The sequence below is a fragment of the Homo sapiens genome, chromosome 12 (assembly GCF_000001405.40).
Source record: "Homo sapiens chromosome 12, GRCh38.p14 Primary Assembly".
Lineage (NCBI taxonomy): Eukaryota > Metazoa > Chordata > Mammalia > Primates > Hominidae > Homo > Homo sapiens.
In genome coordinates, this window is record NC_000012.12 from 121,374,986 (window position 1) to 121,398,738 (window position 23,753).

General features: G+C 45.3%; 1 long non-coding RNA gene across 1 annotated transcript, besides 1 other annotated feature; it reads left to right on the forward strand.

Annotated features, from left to right (window-relative positions):
* Positions 1–439: 439 nt before the first annotated feature.
* Positions 440–17,441, forward strand: LOC124903037 (uncharacterized). The gene is made up of 2 exons (XR_007063498.1): positions 440–831; positions 16,985–17,441. It is a non-coding gene; the product is annotated as an uncharacterized LOC124903037 (long non-coding RNA).
* Positions 16,798–17,207: an enhancer, noted in NCBI's record as "active region_7163". NCBI's record gives its function as "activates an Ori minimal core promoter by ATAC-STARR-seq in GM12878 lymphoblastoid cells {active_cell/tissue: GM12878}" and the evidence as "EXISTENCE:reporter gene assay evidence [ECO:0000049][PMID:35858748]".
* Positions 17,442–23,753: the final 6,312 nt, after the last annotated feature.

Here is a 23,753-nt window from a genome sequence, read left to right on the forward strand (position 1 = left end):
TGGTGGCGACTTGGAGAACCTTTATGTCTAGCTAAGGGATTGAAAATACACCAGTCAGCACTCTGTATCTAGCTCAAGGTTTGTAAACACACCAATCAGCACCCTGTGTTTGCTCAGGGTTTGTGACTGCACCAATCGGCACTCTGTATCTAGCTCAAGGTTTGTAAATGCACCAATCAGCACTCTGTGTCTAGCTCAGGGTTTGTAAATACACCAATGGACACTCTGTGTCTAGCTAATCTAGCGGGGAAGTGGAGAACTGGAGAACTTTTGTGTCTAGCTCAGGGATTGTTAAATGCACCAATCAGCACCCTGTCAAAATGGACCAATCAGCTCTCTGTAAAGCAGACCAATCAGCTCTCTGTAAAATGGACCAATCAGCAGGATGTGTGTGGGGCCAGATAAGAGAATAAAAGCAGGCTGCGGAGCCAGCAGCGACAATCGGTTGGGGTGTTTTTCAGGTGTGTGGGTGGTTTAGTTTTTTCGCTGTTTGGGGCCATATTGCTTTTATGAGCTGTGACACTCACCGCGAAAGTCTGCGAAGCTTCATTCATGTAAGCCCCCGAGACCACGAACCTGCCGAGAGGAACGAACAATTGTAGACGCGCCGCCTTAAGAGCTCTAACACTCACCGCGAAGGTCCGCAACTTCACTCCTGAGCCAGCGAGACCAGGAACCCACCAGAAGGAAAAAACTCTGGAACACATCGGAATATCAGAAAGAACAAACTCCAGACACGCCGCCTTTAACAACTGTAACACTCACAGCGAGTGTCTGCACTTCATTCTTGAAGTTAGTAAGATCAAGAACCCACCACTTCCGGACACAAAAGTAAGGGGATTACAGGTGGGAGCCCCCGCGCCTAGCCCAAACTGGCGCTGATTCTTCATTTGTATATCGCAGTTAGTAAAAGGGCTCCCTGACCCCTAGCCTTGAATTTGGGGAGTAATTTGATATTCTTGATCATCACTACCTCCTTTGTAATATATTCTTTCAAAGTATGTCTGTTTCCCTTTCCCCCAGTACTTGTCAGTATTTTGTTTGTGGGGCGCGGGGGGGGTCTCATTCTATTGCCCAGGCTGGAGTGCAGTGGCGTGATCTTGGCTCACTGCAACCTCTGCTTCCTGGGTTCAAGCGATTCTTCTGTCTTCTGAGTAGCTGGGATTATAGGTGAGCGACACCACGCCTGGCTAATTTTTGTATTTTTAGTGGCGATGAGGTTTCATCATGTTGGCTAGGCTGGTTTTGAACTCCTCACCTGAAGTAATCTGTTCACCTCGGCCTCCCAAAGTGCTGGGATTAAGAGGTGTCAACCACCGTGCCTAGCTAAATGTTTGCATTTTTTATGGAGACGGGGTTTCACCATGTTGCCCAGGCTGGTCTCAAACTCCTAGGCTCAAGCAATCTGCTTGCCTTGGCCTCCTAAAGTGCTGGGACTGCAGGTACGAGCCACTGCACTCAGCCTAAGGCATTTTCTTTTCTTTAAATTTATTTTTATATCTTACTTTATTCATTTATTTTTCGAGATGGAGTCCTGCTCTGTCACCCAGGGTGGAGTGCAGTGGCGTGCTCTTGGCTCACTGCGTCCTCCGCCTCCTGGGTTCAAGCAATTCTCCTGTCTCAGCCTCCCGAGTAGCTGGGATTGCAGGCATGTACCACCACATCTGACTATTTTTTCTATTTTTAGTAGGGACAGGGTTTCACCATGTTGGCCAGGCGGGTCTCGAACTCCTGACCTCAAGTAATCCACACGCCTTGGCCTCCTAAAGTGCTGGCATTACAGGCGTGAGCCACCATGCCCAGCTGTATTTTATTTTATAGAGACAGGGTTTCACTGTGTTACCCAGGTTAGTCTTGAACTCCTGGACTCAAGTGATCCTCTTGCCTTGACCTCCCAATGTGCTGGGGTTGCAGGCGTGAGCCCGTTCCCAGATATTTTCTGAACCTTTGTTCAGAAATACCAATGGTGAATAGGCAGTGGACAACATTTGGGGAATAGGCAGGAAGTGGGGAAGGTGCGGAGGGGGTGGAGATGAACACCCAAACTCTGGGGCCTTGCCTCTCAAATTTTAGACACCTTGAAAATATACCTGATTCCAATCTCTTACACAAATGGTAAACATAAATAGGAAGATAGCGCATTTGGCAAACAGGTGCCAAGCAACAGTCTTGAACAGATGATTGAACATTTCATTTGTTTCTCTGTTAATAATTAATCCATTTGGAATGTAAATTTCCAGCTAATCTTTTAACTCTTCTTTAGCCACTCTAGAGTAATAGGAAAAGGGTAGTAAGCTTCTGGATTTGATTTTTCCTAAGTACAAATTATCCTGAGAACTCAAATTACATGATTTTTCTTTTTCTTTCAGGAAAAGCATTCAGGTATAATTAAGTCGAACAACATCGTGCCCATAATTTTCCACTTTTAAGAGATGGGGTTTCACTCTGTCACCCAGGCTAAAGTGCAGTGGTAGGATTATAGCTCATTGCAGCCTTGATCTCCTGGCCTCAAGCCATCCTCCCACCTCAGCCTCCGAAAGTGTTGGGATAATAAGTGTAAACCACTGTGCCTGGTTTACTTTCTACATGTTAACACTAGTGATTAAATGAAGATTGAAAATAGAAACATGCTAGGGGAAAAATACTTTGAATGTTATCTATGGCTCCACTATATTGGAGAAGTTGTCAAACTTTTTACAAAATCAAAATGAAAAAAAAGACCAAAAAAAATTTTTTTGAGTGTCTCACTCTGTTACCCAGGCTGGAGTGCAATGGTGCAATCACCATGGTAGCCTTCACTGTGCAGGCTCAAGCCACCCTACCACGTCAGCCTCATGAGTAGCTGGGACCACAGGCACGCACCACCTTGCGTGGCTAGTTTTTTAATTTTTTTGTAGAGGCAGGGTCTTGCTATGTTGCCCAAGCTGGTCTCAAATTCCTGGGCTCAAGAGATCCTCCTGCCTTGGCCTCTGAAAGTGCTGGGATTACAGGTATGAGCCACTGTGCCCAGTGGAAAAGCAAATTCTTTTATTTTGTTTAGCTTGTTAAAAATTGAGATGAAATTCATATGACATCAAGTTAACCATTTTAAAGTAAATAATTTGGCCAGGCATGGTGGCTCACATCTGTAATCCCAGTACTTTGGGAGGCCAAGGTGGGCAGATCACCTGAGATCAGGAGTTCAAGACCAGCCTGGCCAACATGGTGAAACCCCATCTCTACTAAAAATAAAAAAAAATTAGCCAGGTGTGGTGGTGGCCACCTGTAATCCCAGCTACTCGGGAAGCTGAGGCAGGAGAATCATTTGAACCTGGGAGGTGGAGGTTGCAGTGAGCCAAGATTGCACCACTGCACTCCACCCTGGGCAACAGAGCAAGACTACATTTCAAAAATAAATAAAGTGAATAATTCAGCCTGGGCGTGGTGCTCATATCTGTAATCCCAGCACTTTGGGAAGCCGAGGCAGGCGGGTCACCTGAGGTCAGGAGTTATAACAGACCAGCCTGGCCAACATGGCAAAAGCCTGCCTACTAAAAATAAAAAAAAAAAAAAAAACTAGCTGGGCGTGGTAGTGAGCACCTGTAATCCCAGCTACTCGGGAGGCTGAGGCAGGAGAATCACTTGAACCCAGGAGGTGGAGGTTGCAGTGAGGAGAGATTGCACCACTGCAATCCAGCCTGGGCAACAGAGTGAGACTCCATCAGAATAAATAAAAATTTTAAAAATAAAGTGAATAATTCAGTAATATTAGTACATTCACCATGATGTACAACCACCACCTCTACCTTGTTTCAAAACTTCTTCATCACCGTAAAAGGAAACCCCGTGTCCACTAAGCAATTACTCCCTATTCCTCCACTCTCCTCAGCCCCTGGAAACCACCAGTGTGCTTTGTGTCTCTATGGATTCATTTATACCGGGCGTTTCATACAAATAGACTCAGCCAGGCATGGTGAATCCTGCCTGTAAGCCTAGCACTTTGGGAAGCAGAGGCTGGAGGATCATTTGAGGGCAGAAGTTTGAGACTAGACTGGGCAACAGAGCAAGACCCTGTCCCTGCAAAAACAAGGGGGGGATGTGATACAGTATGTGACCTTTCGTTTCTGGCTTATTTGACTTAGTAAAATGTTACCCAGATTCATTCATGTTGTAACATGTATCAGTACTTCATTTCTTATGGTTGAATAATATTCTGTTGTGTATATATACCACAATGTTTTAATCCATTCATCAGTTGATGGAAATTTGGGATATATCTGTCTTTTGACTCTTGTTTATAGCACTGCTATGAACATTCATGTACAAGTATTTGTTCTAGTATATGTTTTCAGTTCTTTTGAGTATATACTTAGGAGTAGAATGCTAATTCCTTTTTTTTCTTTTTTTTTTTTTTTTTTGGGAAACAGAGTCTCGGCCGGGCATTGTGGCTCACACCTGTAATCCCAGCACTTTGGGAGGCCAAGGTGGGTGAATCATGTGAGGTCAGGAGTTCGAGACCAGCCTGGCCAACATGGTGAAACCTCGCCTCTACTAAAAATACAAAAATTAGCCAGGCGTGGTTGTGCGTGCCTATAATCTCAGCTACTGGGGAGGCTGAGGCAGGAGAATTGCTTAAAACCCGGAAGCAGAGGCTGCAGTGAACCAAGATTGTGCCACTGCATTCCAGCCTGGATGACAGAACAAGATTCCATCTCAAAAAAAAAAAAAAAAAAAAAAGAAACAGAATCTTGCTCTGTTGCCCAGGCTGGAGCACAGTGGAGTAATCTCAGCTCACTGCAACCTCTGCCTCCCAGGTTCAAGTGATTCTCCTGCCTCAGCCTCCCAAGTAGCTGGGAATACAGGCATGTGCCACTGTGCCTGGCTAATTTTTATATTTTTAGTAGAGATGGTGTTTCACCATGGTGGCCAGGCTGGTCTTGAACCCCTGACCTCAAGTGATCCATCTGCCTCAGCCTCCCAAGTTCTGGGATTACAGGCGTGAGCCACTGTGCGCGGCCAGGAACTACCTTTTTGTATTCTAAGAGTTAGCTCCAAACTAGTCAATGCTGAAGGCCTTGACATTACAATTCTCATTTGTTTCTAAAATACATAAAGACGCTAAAACAATTGGCTTGATGGAAAAAAAAAGTTCAACTCAAGATAAACACTGCATGATCTCATTATGTGTGGTATCCAAAGAAGTCTAACTCATAGAAACGAGAGTAGGTTGGTTGACAAGAGCCATAGGGAGGGAGAAACAGGAGAATTTTGGTCAAAGGAAAGTTTCAATTATAAGATAAATAAATTCTGGAGATCAAAAATATAGCATATGGTAACCGTAACTAATAATAATGTAGGCCGGGCGCGGTGGCTCACGTCTGTAATCCCAGCACTTTGGATGGCCAAGGCGGGTGGATCACGAGGTCAGGAGATCAAGACCATCCTGGCTAACATGGTGAAACCCCATTTCTACTAAAAATACAAAAAATTAACCAGGCATGGTGGCGGGCGCCTGTAGTCCCATCTACTCGGGAGGCTGAGGCGGGAGAATGGCGTGAACCAGGGAGGTGGAGCTTGCAGTGAGCCAAGATTGTGCCACTGCACTCCAGCCTGGGCGACAAAGCAAGACTCCGTCTCAAAAAAATAATAATAAATAATAATAACAATGTATTGTATACTTGACATTTTCTAACACAGTAGAACTTAGTGTTCTTGCCACCAAAAAACGGTAATTACATGAGGTGGTGGATATGTTAATTAGCCTTTCGGTGGTGATCTTTTTTTGACAACGAGTTTCGCTCTTGTTCTTGTTGCCCAGGCTGGAGTGCAGTGGTGCCATCTGGGCTCACTGCAACCTCCACCTCCCGGGTTCAAGCGATTCTCCTGCTTCAGCCTCCCAAGTAGCTGGGATTACAGGCATGGGCCACCACGCCTGGCTGAATTTGTATTTTCAGTAGAGACGGGGTTTCTCCATGTTGGTCAGGCTGGTCTCGAATTCCCAACCTCAGGTGATCCGCCCGCATCGGCCTCCCAAAGTGCTGGGATTACAGGCATAAGCCACCACGCCTGGCTGTGGTGATCATTTTACAGTGTATAAATATATCAAAACATATTGTACACCGTGAATATATACAGTTTTTATTTGTCAATTACACCTCAATAAAGATGGGAGGGAAAGAAAAAGAAAAATGTTTAACTCTACCAAAAATAAAAGAAATGCAAATCAAAATAAGAAAAATGCCATTATTTAGACTCAGAAAGCCAGGCATGGTGGTTCATACCTGTAATCCCAACACTTTGGGAGGCTGAGGCAGGAGGGTTGCTTGAGGTCAGGAGTTCAAGACCAGCCTGGGAAACATAGCAAAACTCTACCTCTACAAAAAAAAATTTTTGGCCGGGCGTGGTGGCTCATGCCTGTAATCCCAACATGCTGTGAGGCTGAGGCAGGTGGGTCACTTGACGTCAGGAGTTAGAGACCAGCCTGGCCAACATGGTGAAACCCCATTTCTACTAAAATACAAAAATTAGCCGGGCATGGTGGCAGGCACCTGTAATCTCAGCTACTGGGGAGGCTGAGGCGTGAGAATCACTTGAACCGAGGAGGTGGAGGTTGCAGTGAGCAGAGATCGCACCACTGCACTCAAGCCTGGGTGAAAGAGTGATACTCTGTCTCAAAAAAAATTTTTTTTTTTTAATTAGCCAGATGTGGTGGCACGTACCTATAGTCCCAGCTACTCAGGAGGCTGAGGTGGGAGGATTGCTTGAAACCAGGAGTTTGAGGCTGCAGTGAGCTGTAATTGTGCCACTGCACTGCAGCCTGGGTGACAGAGTAAGATTCTATTTCTTTTTTTTTGGGGGGGTGGGGACGGAGTCTCGCTTTGTCTCCCAGGCTGGAGTGCAGTGGCACTGTCTCTGCTCATTGCAACCTCCACCTCCTGGGTTCAAGCAATTCTTTTGCCTCAGCCTCCAGAATATTAGAGGGATTAGGGTTGGGATTACAGTTGCCTGCCACCATGCCCGGCTAATTTTTGTATTTTTAGTAGAGATGGGGTTTCACCATGTTGGCTATATGCTGGTCTTGAATTCCTGACCTCAGGTGATCTGCCTACCTCGGCCTTTCAAAGTGCTGGGATTATAGACATGAGCCACCATGCCCAGCTTGATCCTATTTCAAATAAATAAATAAAATAGACACAGTATTGGCCAAGATTTGAGTAAATTAATAAGCGCTGATCAGAGTGCAGAGAATTGGGCTGTTTCTATACAAAACCAATAGAAATGCAAATTGATACACCCATTCTCTGGAAAAATTTGAATGTAGCCTGGACAACATAGCAAGACCCCCATGTCTTTAAAATAATGAGAACATCTGTGTTCTAACGCATAGTGCTTAGCTTTTTTTTTTTTCTTTTTTTTGAGAAGGAGTCGAGCTCTGTTGCCCAGGCTGGAGTGCAGTGGCACAATCTCGGCTCACTGCAACCTCTGCCTCCTAGGCTCAAACAATCCTCCTGCCTCAGCCTCCCGAGTAGCTGGGACTACAGCTGTGTGCCATGCCCGGCCTCTGGCCAGCATACTTTTTAAAAATTGGAAGACTCGGATGGGCACGGTGGCTCACGCCTGTAATCCCAGCACTTTGGGAGGCCAAGGTGGGCGGATCACGAGGTCAGAAGATGGAGACCATCCTGGCTAACACGGTGAAACCCCGTCTCTACTGAAAATACAAAAAATTAGCTGGGCATGGAGGCGTGCGCCTGTAGTCCCAGCTGCTGGGGAGACTGAGGCAGGAGAATGGCGTGAACCGGGGAGGTGGAGCTTGCAGTGAACTGAGATGCCGCCACTGCACTCCAGCCTGGGCGACAGAGCAAGACTCTTTCTCAAAAAAAAAAAAAATTAGAAGACTCAGTAAATGTTAAGTCTGGCTGTTGTAATTGTCAGATGTACATCAAAATGCTGGTACTGCTTATCTTTAAGTAGTGGAATCGTAATTTTAATATTCTTTTGTACACTTTTCTATATTTCTACAATAATGCATTTTCCTTTTGTAATCAGAAAAAAAAAAGAAAATTAAGATTTCGGTCCTCATAGCCGTCTTTATAGTCAACTTTCTAAGCAAGATAACTTTGCTTAAGGTAATTCTCACTGCTGTGGGACAGTGATTCCATATTGGATAAAGGCTTCGATATTTTTGGAAAGGCATCCCAATCTTTGCTACCCTCTCTTCTAATAAGAGTCGAGGTGAACACTATCAAACAACTGAAAAATACTTCTATCAGGTCAGCGCTCCAGGATATTTCTATTCTTAGACATAATAAGATTTGGAGAGCAGTGCTTTAGAGGCTGGGCAAGAATTTTAGAAAGCTAAGGATTACAACAGATCTGGACATTTCTCCCCCATCCCCATTAACAGTCATGAACTGAAAATTTCTATTAGGGGTCATTCATTTACAGGAAAAACAACGAAAACCAAGAAACTTGGATTATGTCATTCATCTACTAACATTTTTTATGGCACCCCTGTGCCTATTCTAGTACCTACACATTACTCAGCCAGGCATCTGAGGTCATTTTAAAGATAATTTTCAGGCAGGTGTGGTAGCTTAGGCCTGTAATCTCAGCATTTTGGGAGGCTGAGGTGGGAGAATTGCTTCAGCCCAGGAGTTCCAGACCATTTTGGGCAAGAGGGCAAAACTCCATCTCGACAAAAATTACAAAAATTAGCCAGGTGTGGTGGCGCCCACTGGTGGTTCCAGCTAATCAGGAGGCTGAGGCAGGAGGATCGCTTGAGCCCAGGGGTGGAGGCTGTAGTGAGCCGTGACTGTGCCACTGCACTCCAGCCTAGGCAACAGAGCAAGACCCTGTCTCAAACAAAAAAAAAAGTGATATTCAGAGCGACTTGAAACATGGATCTGAATCTAGGTACTGGAGTTTCCACTTTCAGCTTCGGGACTATCAGTTCACACCCAGCTATAAACATATCGAGCAAATTCCTAGAACTCTTCTATGAGTGTCATATCAATATACACACCTGCATATGTGTACTGCTGAGCCACCGCGCCTGGCCAAAAGTATTTTTTTCAAGCGTCTAATGGTGTAATAATTAGCCATTCAAATTAAAGGGGCCATTCTAAAGAATTAGCTTCAGCAGGTGGTGTGGCTCAGGCCTGTAATCCCAGCACTTCGGGAGGCCAAGGCAGGTGGATCACCTGAGGTCAAGAGTTCGAGACCAGCCAGGCCAACATGGAGAAACCCCGTCTCTACTAAAAAAACCATGAAAATTAGCCGAGTGTGGTGGTGTGCACCTGTAGTCCCAGCTACTCAGGAGGCTGAGGCAGGAGAATTGCTTGAACCTGGGAGGTGGAGGTTGCAGTGAGCTGAGATCTTGTCATTGCACTCCAGCCTGGACAACAAGAGCGAAACTCTGTCTCAAAAAAAAAAAAAAAAAAAAGTTGAAGTAGGGGAGATAAGAATTAAATAGAATTGAATCAGTTGAAACAAAAAAAAATTCAATACAAGATGAAAAGAGCTGTTTTGGAAATCTTGGCAGCAGTGCTGAAAAGAAAAGGCTATTTTATTAACCTTTTAGCAAAGACATAGTCAGATGTGTGTTCAAGAATACCATTTGAAATTATAGTCTTACAAAATTACTACAGGCAGCCAGGAATGGTGGGTCATGCTTGTAATCCCACCACTTTGGGAGGGCGAGGCAGGAGGATTGCTTGAGGCCAGGAGTCTGAGACCAGTCTGGGTAACATAGTGAGATCTTGTCTCTACAAAAAAAAAAAAAAAAAAAACGGGCCAGGCATGGTGTCTGTAGTCCCAGCTATTCAGGAGGCTGAGGGGGGAAGATCACTTGAGCCAGGAAGGTCAATGCTGCAGTAAGCCATGATCTTGCCACTGCACTCTAGCTTGGGCAATGGAGCAAGAGCCTGTCTCAAAAAGAAAAAAAAAAAGTACTGCTACAAGTATTGTGACTCTAGAAGGTGTAAGGGTTTCAGAATGAGGATGGACAAAGGTTGACATTTTTGGGAACAATTATTAGGCACATGTATCTCTTTTTTTTTTTTTTTTTTGAGATGGGGTCTCACTCTGTTGCCCAGGCTGCAGTGCAAATGGTGCAATCTCGGCTCTTCGCAACCTCTGTCTCCCGGGTTCAAGCAATTCTCTTGCCTCAGCCTCCTGAGTAGCTGGGATTACAGGCGCACGCCACCATGCCTGGCTAATTTTTGTATTTTTACTAGAAATGGGGTTTCACCATGTTGGTCAGGCTGGTCTCTAACTCCTGACCTTGTGATCCACCCACCTCGGCCTCCCAAAGTGCTGGGATAACAGGCATGAGCCCCCCGTGCCCAGCCTAGGCACATGTATATTCTTACATGATTGTAAATGAAGGTGGTGATGGATAAGAGTACTAATCTTTTTATCCTGCATAGTCTGAAATTGGAATTTTCAAGGCAACTCTTCTTATCACAACCATCTGAATGTCTCCTTCCCTGAATGTCTACTTTATTCATTTATCAGTTGATAATGTTCGTATTTCATTGCGTCTGTCTAATTTGGCTATAAATGTGCAAGAGCGTCAGCCTGTCTGCCTTGGATTGTAAACTGTTAGAGGAGAGAGGCAAGGTTTAGCTAATTCTCTGTGTGAATCATTTAGCATGGCATAGCACTACACACAATCAAGGTTTTAATAAATGTGTTGATTATGATCTTTGAAAAAAGGCTTAGTCCCATTTATCGTCTTCTCGACCTTGTCAGCACTTCTCAAGAGGGTGGGGAGAGTTGACTTAATCTACATTTTTTTTTTTTTGAGACAGAATCCCACTCTGTCATCCAGGCTGGAGTGCAGTGGTGTGATCTCGGCTCACTGCAACCTCTGCCTCCCCAGGTTCAAGCAATTCTTGTGCCTCAGCCTCCCAAGTAGTTGGGATTACAGGTATGCGCCACCATGCCCGGCTAATTTTTGTATTTTTAGTAGAGACAGGGTTTCACCATGTTGAACAGGCTGGTCTCAAACTCCACACCTGAAGTGATCTGCCCGCCTTGGCCTCCCAAAATGCTGGGATTACAGGCGTGAACCACCGCACCTGGCCTACTTTTAATACCTGAAGCTTATGCTAAATACGATAACTGCAACGTATCAGTGACGTCTGTTGGTGAATGTCTGAAATGTATTTTCACATTTCTGTAGCTGTTTGAGATGATATTACTTATATGGTACTTGGACACTTGACTTGAAGTAAATATGTTTTAAAATTGAATCACTTCAGTGTGAAATTCAAATTTTGTGGAATCCAAAAATATTTATTTTGACTTTTGCCAACTGTTATTGGGGATGGAATGCCTAATCCTTGAATTGTAACTTCAACAGAAAGGTCTCATTACCAGCACAGGGGTGAACAAAGGCTCAAGGAGACAGGAGACTTCTATATTTTGCCTCTTAACTATTTTTATTACAGTCAGTGATGTTAATCTCTAAAATATCCCAATAAATTAATGTAATCACTGCAGTTTTCTTTTTTTTTTTTTCTTTTTTTGAGACAGAGTTTCACTCTTGTTGCCCAGGCTGAAGTGCAATGGCACGATCTTGGCTCATTGCAACCTCCATCACCCGGGCTCAAGCGATTCTCCTGCCTCAGCCTCCTGAGTAGCTGGGATTACAGGCATCTGCCACCACGCCCGGCTGATTTTGTATTTATAGTAGAGACGGGGTTTCTCCATGTTGGTCAGGCTGGTCTCGAACTCCCAACCTCAGGTGATCTGCCCACCTCGGCCTCCCAAAGTGCTGGGATTACAGGCGTGAGCCACCATACCCAGCAGTTTTCTATCCATTCTATCAATATTCTATGCATTCATTCATATTTATTAAGTTGTCTATTATGTGCTAGGTTTTGAAATGTATAAAGAAGATGAAGGCCAGGTGTGGTGGCTCACACCTGTAATCCCAGCACTTTGGGAGGCTGAGGTGGGAGGAACACTTGAGCCCAGGGGTTTGAGATCAACTTAGGCACCATAGGGAGACCCTGTCTCACAAAACTTTTTTCAATAATTGTCTGGGTATGGTGGCATGTGCCTATGGTCCCCGCTACTCAGGAGGCTAAGGCAGGAGGATTGCTTGAGCCTAGGAGGTTAAGGCTGTGGTGAGCCATGTTTGTGCCACTGAACTCCAGCTTGGGCAACAAAAAGAAGGTAGACATGGTAACTGCCCTCATGGAGTGTAAAGTCTATCCAGACAAGTAACCAGTTACACAGTGGGCTGCATTTGTGGATGGGAGGAGATGTTGACTAGAGAGGAACAGACACAGACACACACAAACACACACATTTCTGGGATGACAGAAATGTTCTTATTTTGTTCTGGGTGAGTACATGAATGTATTCAGTCATCAAAACTCACCAAAGTGGCCAGGTGCGGTGGCTCACGCCTGTAATCCCAACACAGGCAGGAAGATCACATGAGGTCAGGAGTTCGAAACCAGCCTGGCCAAGATGGTGAAACCCCATCTCTATTAAAAATACAAAAATTAGCCAGGCATGGTGGCACACGCTTGTAATCCCGGCTACTTGGGAGGCTGAGGCAGGAGAATCACTTGAACTTGGGAGGCGGAGGTTGCAGTGAGTCGAGATTGCGCCACTGAACTCCAGCCTGGGTGACAGAGGGAGACTCTGTCTCAAAACAAAAGCAAAACTCACTGAACTGAACACTTAAGTTTCGTGCATTTTATTATACCTTAATTGCACTTCAATTTAAAAAAAAAAGCAGAAAAGAAAAACCAAGGTAGCAAAATAGCGATTATAATACGGTATGACAGTGAGTATCGTGTATGATGTACATGTGTATCAGTGTGCCTGACAACTTTAGGAGTTAAGAGTACAGCTCCTTGAGAAAGTCTACAGAGCTGGTAGCTAAAGGTTGATTAAAGATAGCCAGTCCAGGAAGCCAATGAAGCGCTTCCTCTGAACTTGGAAGAGATGGGGAATTTACATCTCAAAAGAGCTTGCCTGTGCAAAGGCCCAGAGGTAGGAGAGTATGACCCACTGGGGCACTGCAAGCAGTTCAGTATGGTTACAGTGGAGGTTGTGAGGTGAGGGTGGTGGGAAGTAGGCCTGGAGGGGTGAGCAGGGAATGGACGATAAAGGACCCTGTAACACTATTTTAATAAATTTGGACTTTTTCATGAGGCCATTGGGAAACCCTAAAGGAATAAATGTGTGTGTGTGTGTATATATATACACACACACACACATTTATGAGTGAGATCTTGGCTCACTGCACCCTCTGCCTCCCGGGTTCAAGTGATTCTCCTGCCTCAGCCTCCCAAGTAGCTGGGATTACATGTGCGCGTCACCATGCCTGGCTAATTTTTGTATTTTAAGTAGAGACAGGGTTTCACCATGTTGGCCACGCTAGTCTTGAACTCCTGGCCTCAACTGATCTGCCCACCTCAGCCTCCCAAAGTACTGGGATTACAGGCATGAGCCGCCTTGCCCCACCATCCCAAAGGAATTTAAACAGGAAAAGACAAAGTCAGACTTTTCGTGTAAAGAGGCTTTTGTCCTCAGGATAGAGAGCAAACCAGAAGTGGGGATGACTAAGCAGGTGGTGGGGGTGGTGGGGTAGTGCAGATTGGAGCTCAAGCTCCTGCAGCTGCAATGAAGCAAGAGAAACAGTAAGAGCCATGGGCCAAGGGGATGAAGAAGTAGATGGATGTGAGTGGTGCACAGGGCTAGAGCTGCTCAAAGGCAAAGTCAAGGATGACTTGCAGTTCTCTAGCATGGTGCCATAGAGCATGGTAGGGAACCCAGGAAGAGGAGCATGGGTTGGAAGGAAGTGGGTACTGAGCTGACAAATCTGAAACGCAGGGAAGAGACGGATTGGCAGAGGCTCAGGAGACCCATATACAGACCTAGACAGGGAATTCCTGAGAATGGTTACCTATCTGGAGTACAGGGTGAGGTCATCCAGAAGAATCTGTCGAGTGAGAAGTGGAAAGGCCTGCAATACTTGTATCAACACCAAAACTTGAAGGGTGGGTAGAGGAGATGGAGAAGAAATTGCTCAGAGAGACAGAAGGAAAACCGAGAGAGTAGAGTAGGTGGCCCAGCACGGTGGCTCACGCCTGTAATCACAACACATTAGGAGGCTGAGACAGGAGGAGTGCTTGAGCCCAGAAGTTTAAGACCATCCTGGGAAACATAGGGAGACCCCGTCTCTACAAAAAATAATAATAAATTAGCTGGATGTGATGGTGCACATCTGTAATACCAGCTACTCAGGAGGCTTAGGCAGGAGGATTGCTTAAGCCCAGGAGGTCAAGGCTGCAGTGAGCCATCATGGTGCCACTGCACGCCAGCCTGGGTGACAGAGTAAGATCCTGACTCAAAAAATTTATTTATTTATTTATTTATTTATTTATTTATTGAGACGGAGTTTTGCTCTTGTTGCCCAGGCTGAAGTGCAGCGGTGTGATCACGGCTCACCACAATCTCTGCCTCCCAGGTTCAAGTGATTCTCCTGCCTCAGCCTCCTGAGTAGCTGGGATTACAGGCATGCACCACCACACCCGGCTAACTTTGTATTTTTAGTAGAGACGGGGTTTCTCCATGTTGGTCAGGCTGGTCTCGAACTCCCAACCTCAGGTGATCTGCCCACCTCAGCCTCCCGAAGTGTTGGGGTTATAGCATGAGCCGCTGAGCCTGGCCAAAAAATTTTTTAAGAAGAAAAGAAATCTGAAATCTATTTCATGTTATATCTGAAATAGACATGATATGCTTTCTCTTAGTTTTCTAAAAAATATGTTTAAACCCTTTTCTGGTTTAGAATTTACTGTAGTTTGGAGTATAAGATTTGTCCAGGTAAATTCCCAACATCCTTATCAAGGAGTCATCAGATAGTTTCCGTCTTTGAAGCCTGGGTTGTCTTTGAATTTAGAGCAAAGAATGGTTGGAGTTTTTCCAAAGTTGCCAGCAAAAAGCATGCGTTTAAGAGGTCAGACTTGGCTTCTGGTCCCATCTTTGCCTGTAGCTAGATGTGTGATCCTGAGCACACTTAACTCTTCTGGGAGGCACTTTGTCAATGTAAATTGAGAAAGTACATAAAGTGACCTTGAAGGGCCCTTCTAGCTCAAAAACTTTATAGCAAATGATGGACTCTTTTTTTTTTTTTTTTGAGACGAGGTGTCACTCTGTTGCCTAGGCTGAAGTGCAGTGGCAGGACCTCTGCTCACTGCAACCTCCACCTCCCAGGTTCAAGCAATTCTGCCTCAGCCTCCAGAGTTGCTGGTATTACAGGTGCCTGCCACCAAGCCTTGCTAATTTTTTGTATTTTTAGTAGAGACAGGGTTTCACCATGTTGGTCAGGCTGGTCTCAAACTCCTGACCTCAGGTGATCCGCCTGCCTGGGCCTCGCAAAGTGCAGGGATTACAGGCATGAGGTACTGTGCTCTGCCGGGACTCATTATTAAGTTCAGAATTTCTAGATCTTAGTGAGACTCCGTTCAAGCAAAACCATACTATGATACAACGGTTAACAAGATGAGAACCTGGCAAACTTTTAAATTTTTATTTATTTACTTATTATTTTTTAGAGCCGGTGTCTCTCTCTCTTGTCCAGGATGGCCTGCAGTTCCTGAGGTCAAGTGATCCTCTGGCCTCAGCCTCCCAAGTAGTGAGAACTATGGGTATGTGCCATCACGCTTGGCTAACCAACCCCCTGCTTAACCTGAGTTTGCAAATGTCAAAGTTGGAGATAGGTCATAAAATCGACTCACTGGTAGATTTTACAGACTGAATCTTGCTGTGTTGCCCAGGCTGGTCTATAAAACTTGGGCTCAAGTGATCCTCCCATTTGAGCCTCCCAAAGTGCTGGTATTACAGGTGTGAGCCATTTCCCCCAGCCCTGCAAATAAACCTATTTTCTTTTTAAATTACTCAGTCTCAAGTGTTCCTTTATAGCAACACCAATGGACTAAGACGTATATGAATGTAGATTTACTGTATAAGAATGAACTTGTTTTGGAAGGTCTGTCTTTTTATTGGAAGAATCGTAATTCTGGTGAGCATCATGCTGGACTGGGGATAGGAGAGTTGGCAGCTCTTCTTTCATCACTGCCTCACTGAGCCTCAGGCAAGACAGCTCACCTTCCCAAGCCATGAAAAGAAGAAAACCCTTTCTCCTTTCTGCCTGCTAAGGAGGGTTATTGGAGAAAAAGCCTGTAAAGTGCTCCAACTTCAGAGAAATATCAATTGGCCCTGTGTTATTTGTCTCACTCTCTGGAAACCACTTTATTTATTTATTTATTTATTTTATTTTGTTTTTCGAGACAGTCTTGCTCTGTGGCCCAGGCTGGAGTGCAGTGGTATGATCTCAGCTCACTACAACCTCTGCCTCCCGGGTTCAAGCAATTCTGCCTCAGCCTCCCGAGTAGCTGGGATTACATGTGCCCACCACCGCACCCAGCTAATTTTTGTATTTTTAGTAGAGATGGGGTTTCACCATCTTGGCCAGGCTGGTCTCGAACTCCTGACCTCGTGATCTGCCCGCCTTGGCCTCTCAAAGTGCTGGGATTACAGGCATGAGCCACCATGCCTGGCCTTTTTTTTTTTTAATTTATTTATTTGACACAGAGTCTCGTTCTGTCACCCAGGCTGGAGTGCAGTGGCATGATCTCGGCTCACTGCAACCTTCGCCTCCTGGATTCAAGTGATTGTCATGCCTCAACCTCCTGGGTAGCTGGGATTACAGGCACGCACCACCATGCCAGCCTAATTTTTGTATTTGTAGTAGAGACAGGGTTTCACCATGTTGGCCAGGCTGGTCTCAAACTCCTGAACTCAAGTGATCTGCCCGCCTCAGCCTCCAAAGTGTTGGGACATAGGCATGAGCTACCGTGCCTGGCCTGGGAACCACAGAAAGTTCTGTTTCTGTTTCACTTTCAGGATTCTTCAGCTATTTGGCAAAGTTGAAGACATAAGTTCCCGGTTCACAACCATTTTCTCCATTTTACAGAGGGAGAGACGTAAGGCAGAAGAAGATTACATGTACGAGTTGACAGCATAATTCACTGGCAGAATTCCAAAAAGATGCTATCAGTCCAAAAGAAAATGATTCTGGGGAGCCATCTGTTCTCCAGCTGCAGAGATGTTTCTCTAAAGTGCAATAAGTATTGTTGAAACCATCTTTACTGTAGCGGAAGTCAATCACAGTCTGGATTCAGATGGGAGCTGGTTTAAGCATTCAGATGAAGAGATACTTCGTCATTTCTACCAGTGAGTCAACTTTATGACCTATCTACAACTTTGGCATTTGCAAACTCAGGTTAAGCAGGGATGGTTAGAGAGTTTATTTGATCTTTTAAATTATAAAACTTATGCAATGAGTCCAAAAAAGATGGATTACCTTGAGTAGGTAAAATAGTTATATTTGTTAAATTGACCAAGGATAAATAAAAACATAGCAAACCAGATCCAATTCTCAAATATTTTGATCTGGCTCATATCTAGGCAACCAGAGTTGGGCACTCGTCTAATGATGATGCAGTTGAGCTTAGATGGGAGAGTGGTGGGGCATGGGTAGAGAGGTACACGTGCTGGAGATGAGACACGAATGGCAGAATGTAGAGAACTGTTAAAACTGGGTGATGGGTATGTGAGGGTTCATTGTATTATTCTATTTACTTTAAATATGTTTGACATTTTCCAGAATAAGAAATGGCTTAATACAGCAAGTTGCTAACCAACTTTTAAAAAGGCATATTATCTGCCTTCTATGACTTGTTATCATTGGGTGATTCCATTGTTAGGATAATAATAAAGCCTTCTACCCTATTGTCTTTTTTTTTTTTTTTTTTTTTTTTGAGACAGAGTCTTGCTCTGTCACCCAGGCTGGAGTGCAGTGGCACCATCTCGGCTCACTGCAAGCTCCGCCTCCCGGGTTCACGCCATTCTCCTGCCTCAGCCTCCCAAGTAGCTGGGACTACAGGCGCCCACCACCACACCCTGCTAATTTTTTTGTATTTTTAGTAGAGATGGGGTTTCACCATGTTAGCCAGGATGGTCTCGATCTCCTGACCTCATGATCCACCAGTCTCGGCCTCCCAAAGTGCTGGGATTACAGGCGTGAGCCACCGCACCCGGCCAAATACTCTTTTTTTTTTTTTTTTTTTGAGGAGTCTTGCTCTGTCGCCCAGGCTGGAGTGCAGTGGCGTGATCTCGGCTTACTGCAAGCTCCGCCTCCTGGGTTCACACCATTCTCCTGCCTCAGCCTCCTGGGTAGCTGGGACTACAGGTGCCTGCCACCACACCCAGCCAATTTCTTTTTCGATTTTTAGTGGAGACAGGGTTTCACCGTGTTAGCCAGGATGGTCTCGATCTGACCTCGTGATCCACTCGCCTTGGCCTCCCAAAGTGCTAGGATTACAGGCGTGAGCCACTGCGCCTGGCCTGTTGTCTTTTAAGTACACATCATGTTGAAAAAGATTATTCAGTAACTTACAAAAATTTAATTATTATTATTTTTTGAAACAGGGTCTCACTTTCTCACTCAAGTAGGAATGCAGTGGTGCAAACACGGTTAACTGCAGTCTCAACCTCCAGAGCTCAGGTGATCCTCCAACCTGAGTCTCTGGAGTAGCTGGGACTACAGGCTCCTGTCACCATGCCCAGTTAATTTTTTGTGTTTTTTGTAGAGCCCAGGCTGATCTCGAACTCCTCGGCTCAAGTTACCTGCCTGCCTTGGCCTCTCAAGTCATGAGTTACAGACATGAGCCACTGCACCTGGACTTATTAGTTTTTTTTGAGACAAGGTCTTGTTTTATCGTCCAGGTTGGAGTGCGGTGACACAATCACGGCTCACTGCAGTCTCACATTCCTGGGCTCAAGTAATCCTCCTGTCTCAGCCTCCTGAGTAGCTGGGACCACAGCCGTGCACCACCACACCTGGCTAATTTTTTATTTTTTGTAGAGACAGGGTTTCACTATGTTGCCCAGGCTGGTGTCCAACTCCTGGGCTCAAGCTGTTACCGAATGGAAAGTCTTGATTGTGAGTTGTCCAGGTTCTTGGCACGTTGAACAAAGAATTGAACAAAATGCACAAAGCAACAAAAGAATGAAGCAACAAAAGCACAGATTTATTGAAATGAAAGTACACTCCACAGAGTGGGAGCGGACTCAAGCAAGCAGCTCAAGAGCCCCAGCTGCAATGTTGTTTAGGGTTTTTATTAAACTAAAAGAATTTTGCAACATCCCTAGGTACCCTTTAGAGGCTTCCAATTGCTTACATCCTATGCCAATGAAGGATTTGCCCACAACCAATCAAAGGCTGAAGTGAAGGCTTGGCCCTCTACCAATTAGAGGCATTTACTGTTTGTGACCTAAGGGAGAGGGGATTTTGTAGAGGGAGGAGCCTCTGGCCCCTTATCACTTGGGCATGGAGAGGTGGGGTTTTCCTTCTGGTCCAGTTCCAAGAAGTCTGCTGCAGGTTGGCCTTAGGCTCCCTGTCTCCAGACCCTGTTCTCCTGCCTGAAAGTGGTGGTCCCACTTCGGCCTCCCAAAGTGCTGGGATTATAGGTGTGAGAGACCGTGCCCAACCTAATTGTGTATTTGAGATAGGGTCTTACTCTGTCACCTAGGCTGGAGTGCAGTGACACAATCATGGCTCACTATAGCCGTGACCTCCCAGGCCCACATGATCCTCCCACCTCAGCCTCCCAAGTAGCTGGGACCACAGGTGCGTGCCACCATACCCAGCTAATTTTTGTGTGTGTGTTTTGCAGAGATGGGGTCTCCCTATGTTGCCTAGGCTGGTCTCAGACTCCTGGGCTCGGCGAACCCCCTACTGGGCCTCTCAAGGTGCTGGGATTACAGGAGTGAGCTACCATGCCAGGCCTCAAAAATTTAGATAGTGGAACTTTTGCTTCTTCTTGACATTGAGAGAGGTTTGAAATTATTTGACTTTCAGCACATTGTGAATTCAATAAAATAATTTTTTGAGGTGCTAAAAAGAAACAACTCAGAAAATGGCCCCACTACATCCTAAGGATCCAATGCATCCTCAATTGCATTGAGTTGCAATAAATTATCCCATGTGTCTTGGCATTCCTACTTTTTGTCTCTGAAATACAAAGTATTAGGTTGTTATGATCATAACTTAACAGACAAAAATTTCCTGAACCACAATTGATACAATTAGTACACAATTGAAAGAGGAGGGTCATTGGCCGGGCATGCTGGCTCACGCCTGTAATCCCAGGACTCTGGGAGGCTGAGACTGGCGGATCACGAGGTCAGGAGATCGAGACCATCCTGGCTAACACAGTGAAACCCTGTCTCTACTAAAAATACAAAAAATTAGCCTGGCGTGGTGGTGGGCGCCTGTAGTCCCAGCTACCCAGGAGGCTGAGGCAGGAGAATGGCGTGAACCCCGGAGGTGGAGCTTGCAGTGAGCTGAGATTGCATCACTGCACTCCAGCCTGGGCGACAGAGCAAGACTCCATCTCAAAAAAAAAAAAAAAAAAAAAAAAAGAGGGTCATTATATAAAATTTGAAACAAAGAAAAAACTATGATCACAAAATGCATCTCTTTCATTGAAAAAAGAGTGATATTTAAGCACAAATCTCTCTCAACTTCAGAAGGTCCCAACTTCAGGTAGGTAGGCATTGTAAACTCATGTGTAACCTATTTACTCCCTTATGTTTTTTTTTTTTAAATCATTTTCCTTCTCCACCTTCCAGAAAAAAAAGTATTCACTCAAACTTTTATTGATGGGTGGGTGTGGTGGCTCATGCCTGTAATCCCAACACTTTGGGAGGCTGAGGCAGGGGGATCTCTTGAGGCTAGGACTTGGAGACCAGCCTGGGCAAAATGGTGAAACCCCTCTACTAAAAATACAAAAATTAGCTGGGCATGGTGGTGCACACCTGTAACCCCAGCTACTACTCGGGAGGCTGAGTCATGAGAATCACTTGAACCTGGGAGGTAGAGGTTGCAATGAGCCAAGATCGCGTCACTGCACTCTAGCCTAGGCGACAGAGCGAGACTCCGTCTCAAAAAAAAAAAAAAAAATACAATTCAGCTGGGCACGGTGGCTCACGCCTGTAATCCCAACACTTTGGGAGGCCAAAGTGGGCAGATCACTTGAGGTCAGGAGTTTGAGACCAGCCTGGCCAACATGGTGAAACCTCATCTCTCCTAAAAATAAAAAAGTTACCCGGATGTGTGGCATGCACCTGTCATCCCAGATACTCGGGAGGCTGAGGTAGAAGAATCACTTGAACCTGAGAGGCAGAGCTTGCAGTGAGCAGAGATTGTACCACCGCACTCCAGCCTGGGTGACAGAGGGAGACTCTCTCAAAAACAACAGCAACAACAAAAAACCAAACACAATTTACTGGGAGCTTGCTTATGCTAGGTACAGATCTGTGTGCTGGGGACAAAATAAGACAAGTCTTCCCAAGTATTGCACTGTTTTAAATTTTCCCCTGATACTTAAGTTTCTCCCTAGCCTTTGTTGTTTTCATTGTCCTTCTGTGGCCACTTTCCAGCTGCATTAACTCTTCTTTTTGTGTTCCTCAATATTAACAGCTTTATTGAGATATAATTCACATACCATATAATACACCCGTTTAAATTATACAATTTAGTAGTTTTTAGTATACTCACAGAGCTGTACAACCATTCACATAGCTAATTTTAGAACGTTTTCTTTTCCTTTTTTTTTTTTTTTTTTTGAGCAGGGTCTCGCTTTGTCACCCAGGCTGGAGTACAGTGGCTCACTGCAGCCTCGACCTCCTGGGCACAAGTGATCCTCCTACCTCAGCCTCCCGAGTAGCTGGGACTACAGGTGTGCACCACGATACCCAGTTAATTTTTGTTTTTATGTTTTGTAGAGATGGGATCTCCTTATGTTGCCCAGGCTGGTCTCGAACTCCCGGGTTCAGGTGATCCTCCCGTCTCAGCCTCCCAAAGTGCTCAGATTACAGCCATGAGCAATCACACCCGGCCTAGAATGTTTTGTTTTGTTTTGTTTTGTTTTTTGAGACAGAGTCTTGCTCTGTCACCCAGGCTGGAGTGCAGTGGCGTGATCTCGGCTCACTACAAACTCTGCCTCCCGGGTTCACGCCATTCTCCTGCCTCAGCCTCCCAAGTAGCTGGGACTACAGGCGCCCGCCACCGCGCCCGGCTAATTTTTTGTATTTTTTAGTAGAGATGGGGCTTCACCGTTGTCTGGATCTCCTGACCTCGTGATCCGCCCGCCTTGGCCTCCCAAAGTGCTGGGATTACAGGCGTGAGCCACCGCGCCCAGCCTCCTAGAATGTTTTCATTACCCCAAAAGAAACCTGTGTCTAGTAGCAGTCACTCCATTTCCCCCCTCCTCCTTCAGAGACCTTAATCACTACTCTACTTTCTATCTCTATGGATTGGCTTATTTTGGACATTTCCTGTAAATGGAATCATACAATATATAATCTTTTTGTATCTAGCTTTTTTCACTTAGCATTATTATTTTCTTTTTCTTTTCTTTTCTTTTCTTTTTTTTTTTTTTTTTGAGACAGGGCCTTGCTCTGTCGCTCAGGCTGGAGTGCAGTGGCGCAATTTTGGCTCACCGCAGCCTCAACCTCCTGGGTTCAAGAGATTCTCCCACCTCTGGCTCCCGAGTAGCTGGGATTACAGGCGTGCGTCGCCACATCCGGCTATTTTTTTTTTTTTTTTTTTTTGTATTTTTAGTAGAGATAGGGTTTCACCACGTTGGCCAGGCTGGTCTCGAACACCTGACCTCATGTGATCCGCCCGCCTCCGCCTCCTGAAGCCTTAGGACTACAGGAGTGAGTCACTGTACTCAGCCAGCCGCATGATGTTTTCAAGGTTCATCCATGTTGCAGTATGTATCAGTACTTCATTCCTTTTTTGGTCTAATAATATTCCACTGCATAGAGAGACCACATTTCCTTTAACCATTTCTCAGATAATGGACATTTGGGTTGTTTTTACTTTTTGACTATTATGAATAATGCTGCTAAGAACCATTAGCATGTACGTTTTTCTGTGGACCTAGGTTTTCATTTCTCTCGGGTATACACCTAGGAGTGGAATTTCTGGGTCTTATGGTAACTCTGTATGTTTTAACATTTTTGGGCCGGGCGCGGTGGCTCACGCCTGTAATCCCAGCACTTTGGGAGGCCGAGGTGGGCGGATCACGAGGTCAGGAGATCGAGACCATCCTGGCTAACACGGTGAAACCCGTCTCTACTAAAAATACAAAAAACTAGCCGGGCGCGGTGGCGGGCGCCTGTAGTCCCAGCTACTTGGGAGGCTGAGGCAGGAGAATGGCGTGAACCCAGGAGACGGAGCTTGCAGTGAGCAGAAATCGCGCCATTGCACTCCAGCCTGGGCGACAGAGCGAGACTCCGTCTCAAAAAAAAAAAAATTTTTTTTTTTAAGAATTGTCAGGCATTTTCATAGCAGCTGCATCATTTTACATTCCCACCATTCATGTATGAAGATTCCAAATTCTCCACATCCTCACCATCTATTTTCTTTCTTTTTAATGTTACCCATCCTTGCAGGCGCACAGCGGTATCCATGGATTTGATGTGCATTTCCTTGATAGTTAATGATGTTGAGCATCTTTCATGTGCTTATTAACTCTGGAGGTAGACCTGCCAGGCCTTTTCTAATGAGGGACAACCATGGCTTTGTACCCCAAGAACATTTTTATTGAGTTGCTTTGTGTCTAGATCATTAGGAGAATTAATTAATACTTTCTCTTCCAATGAAGCTC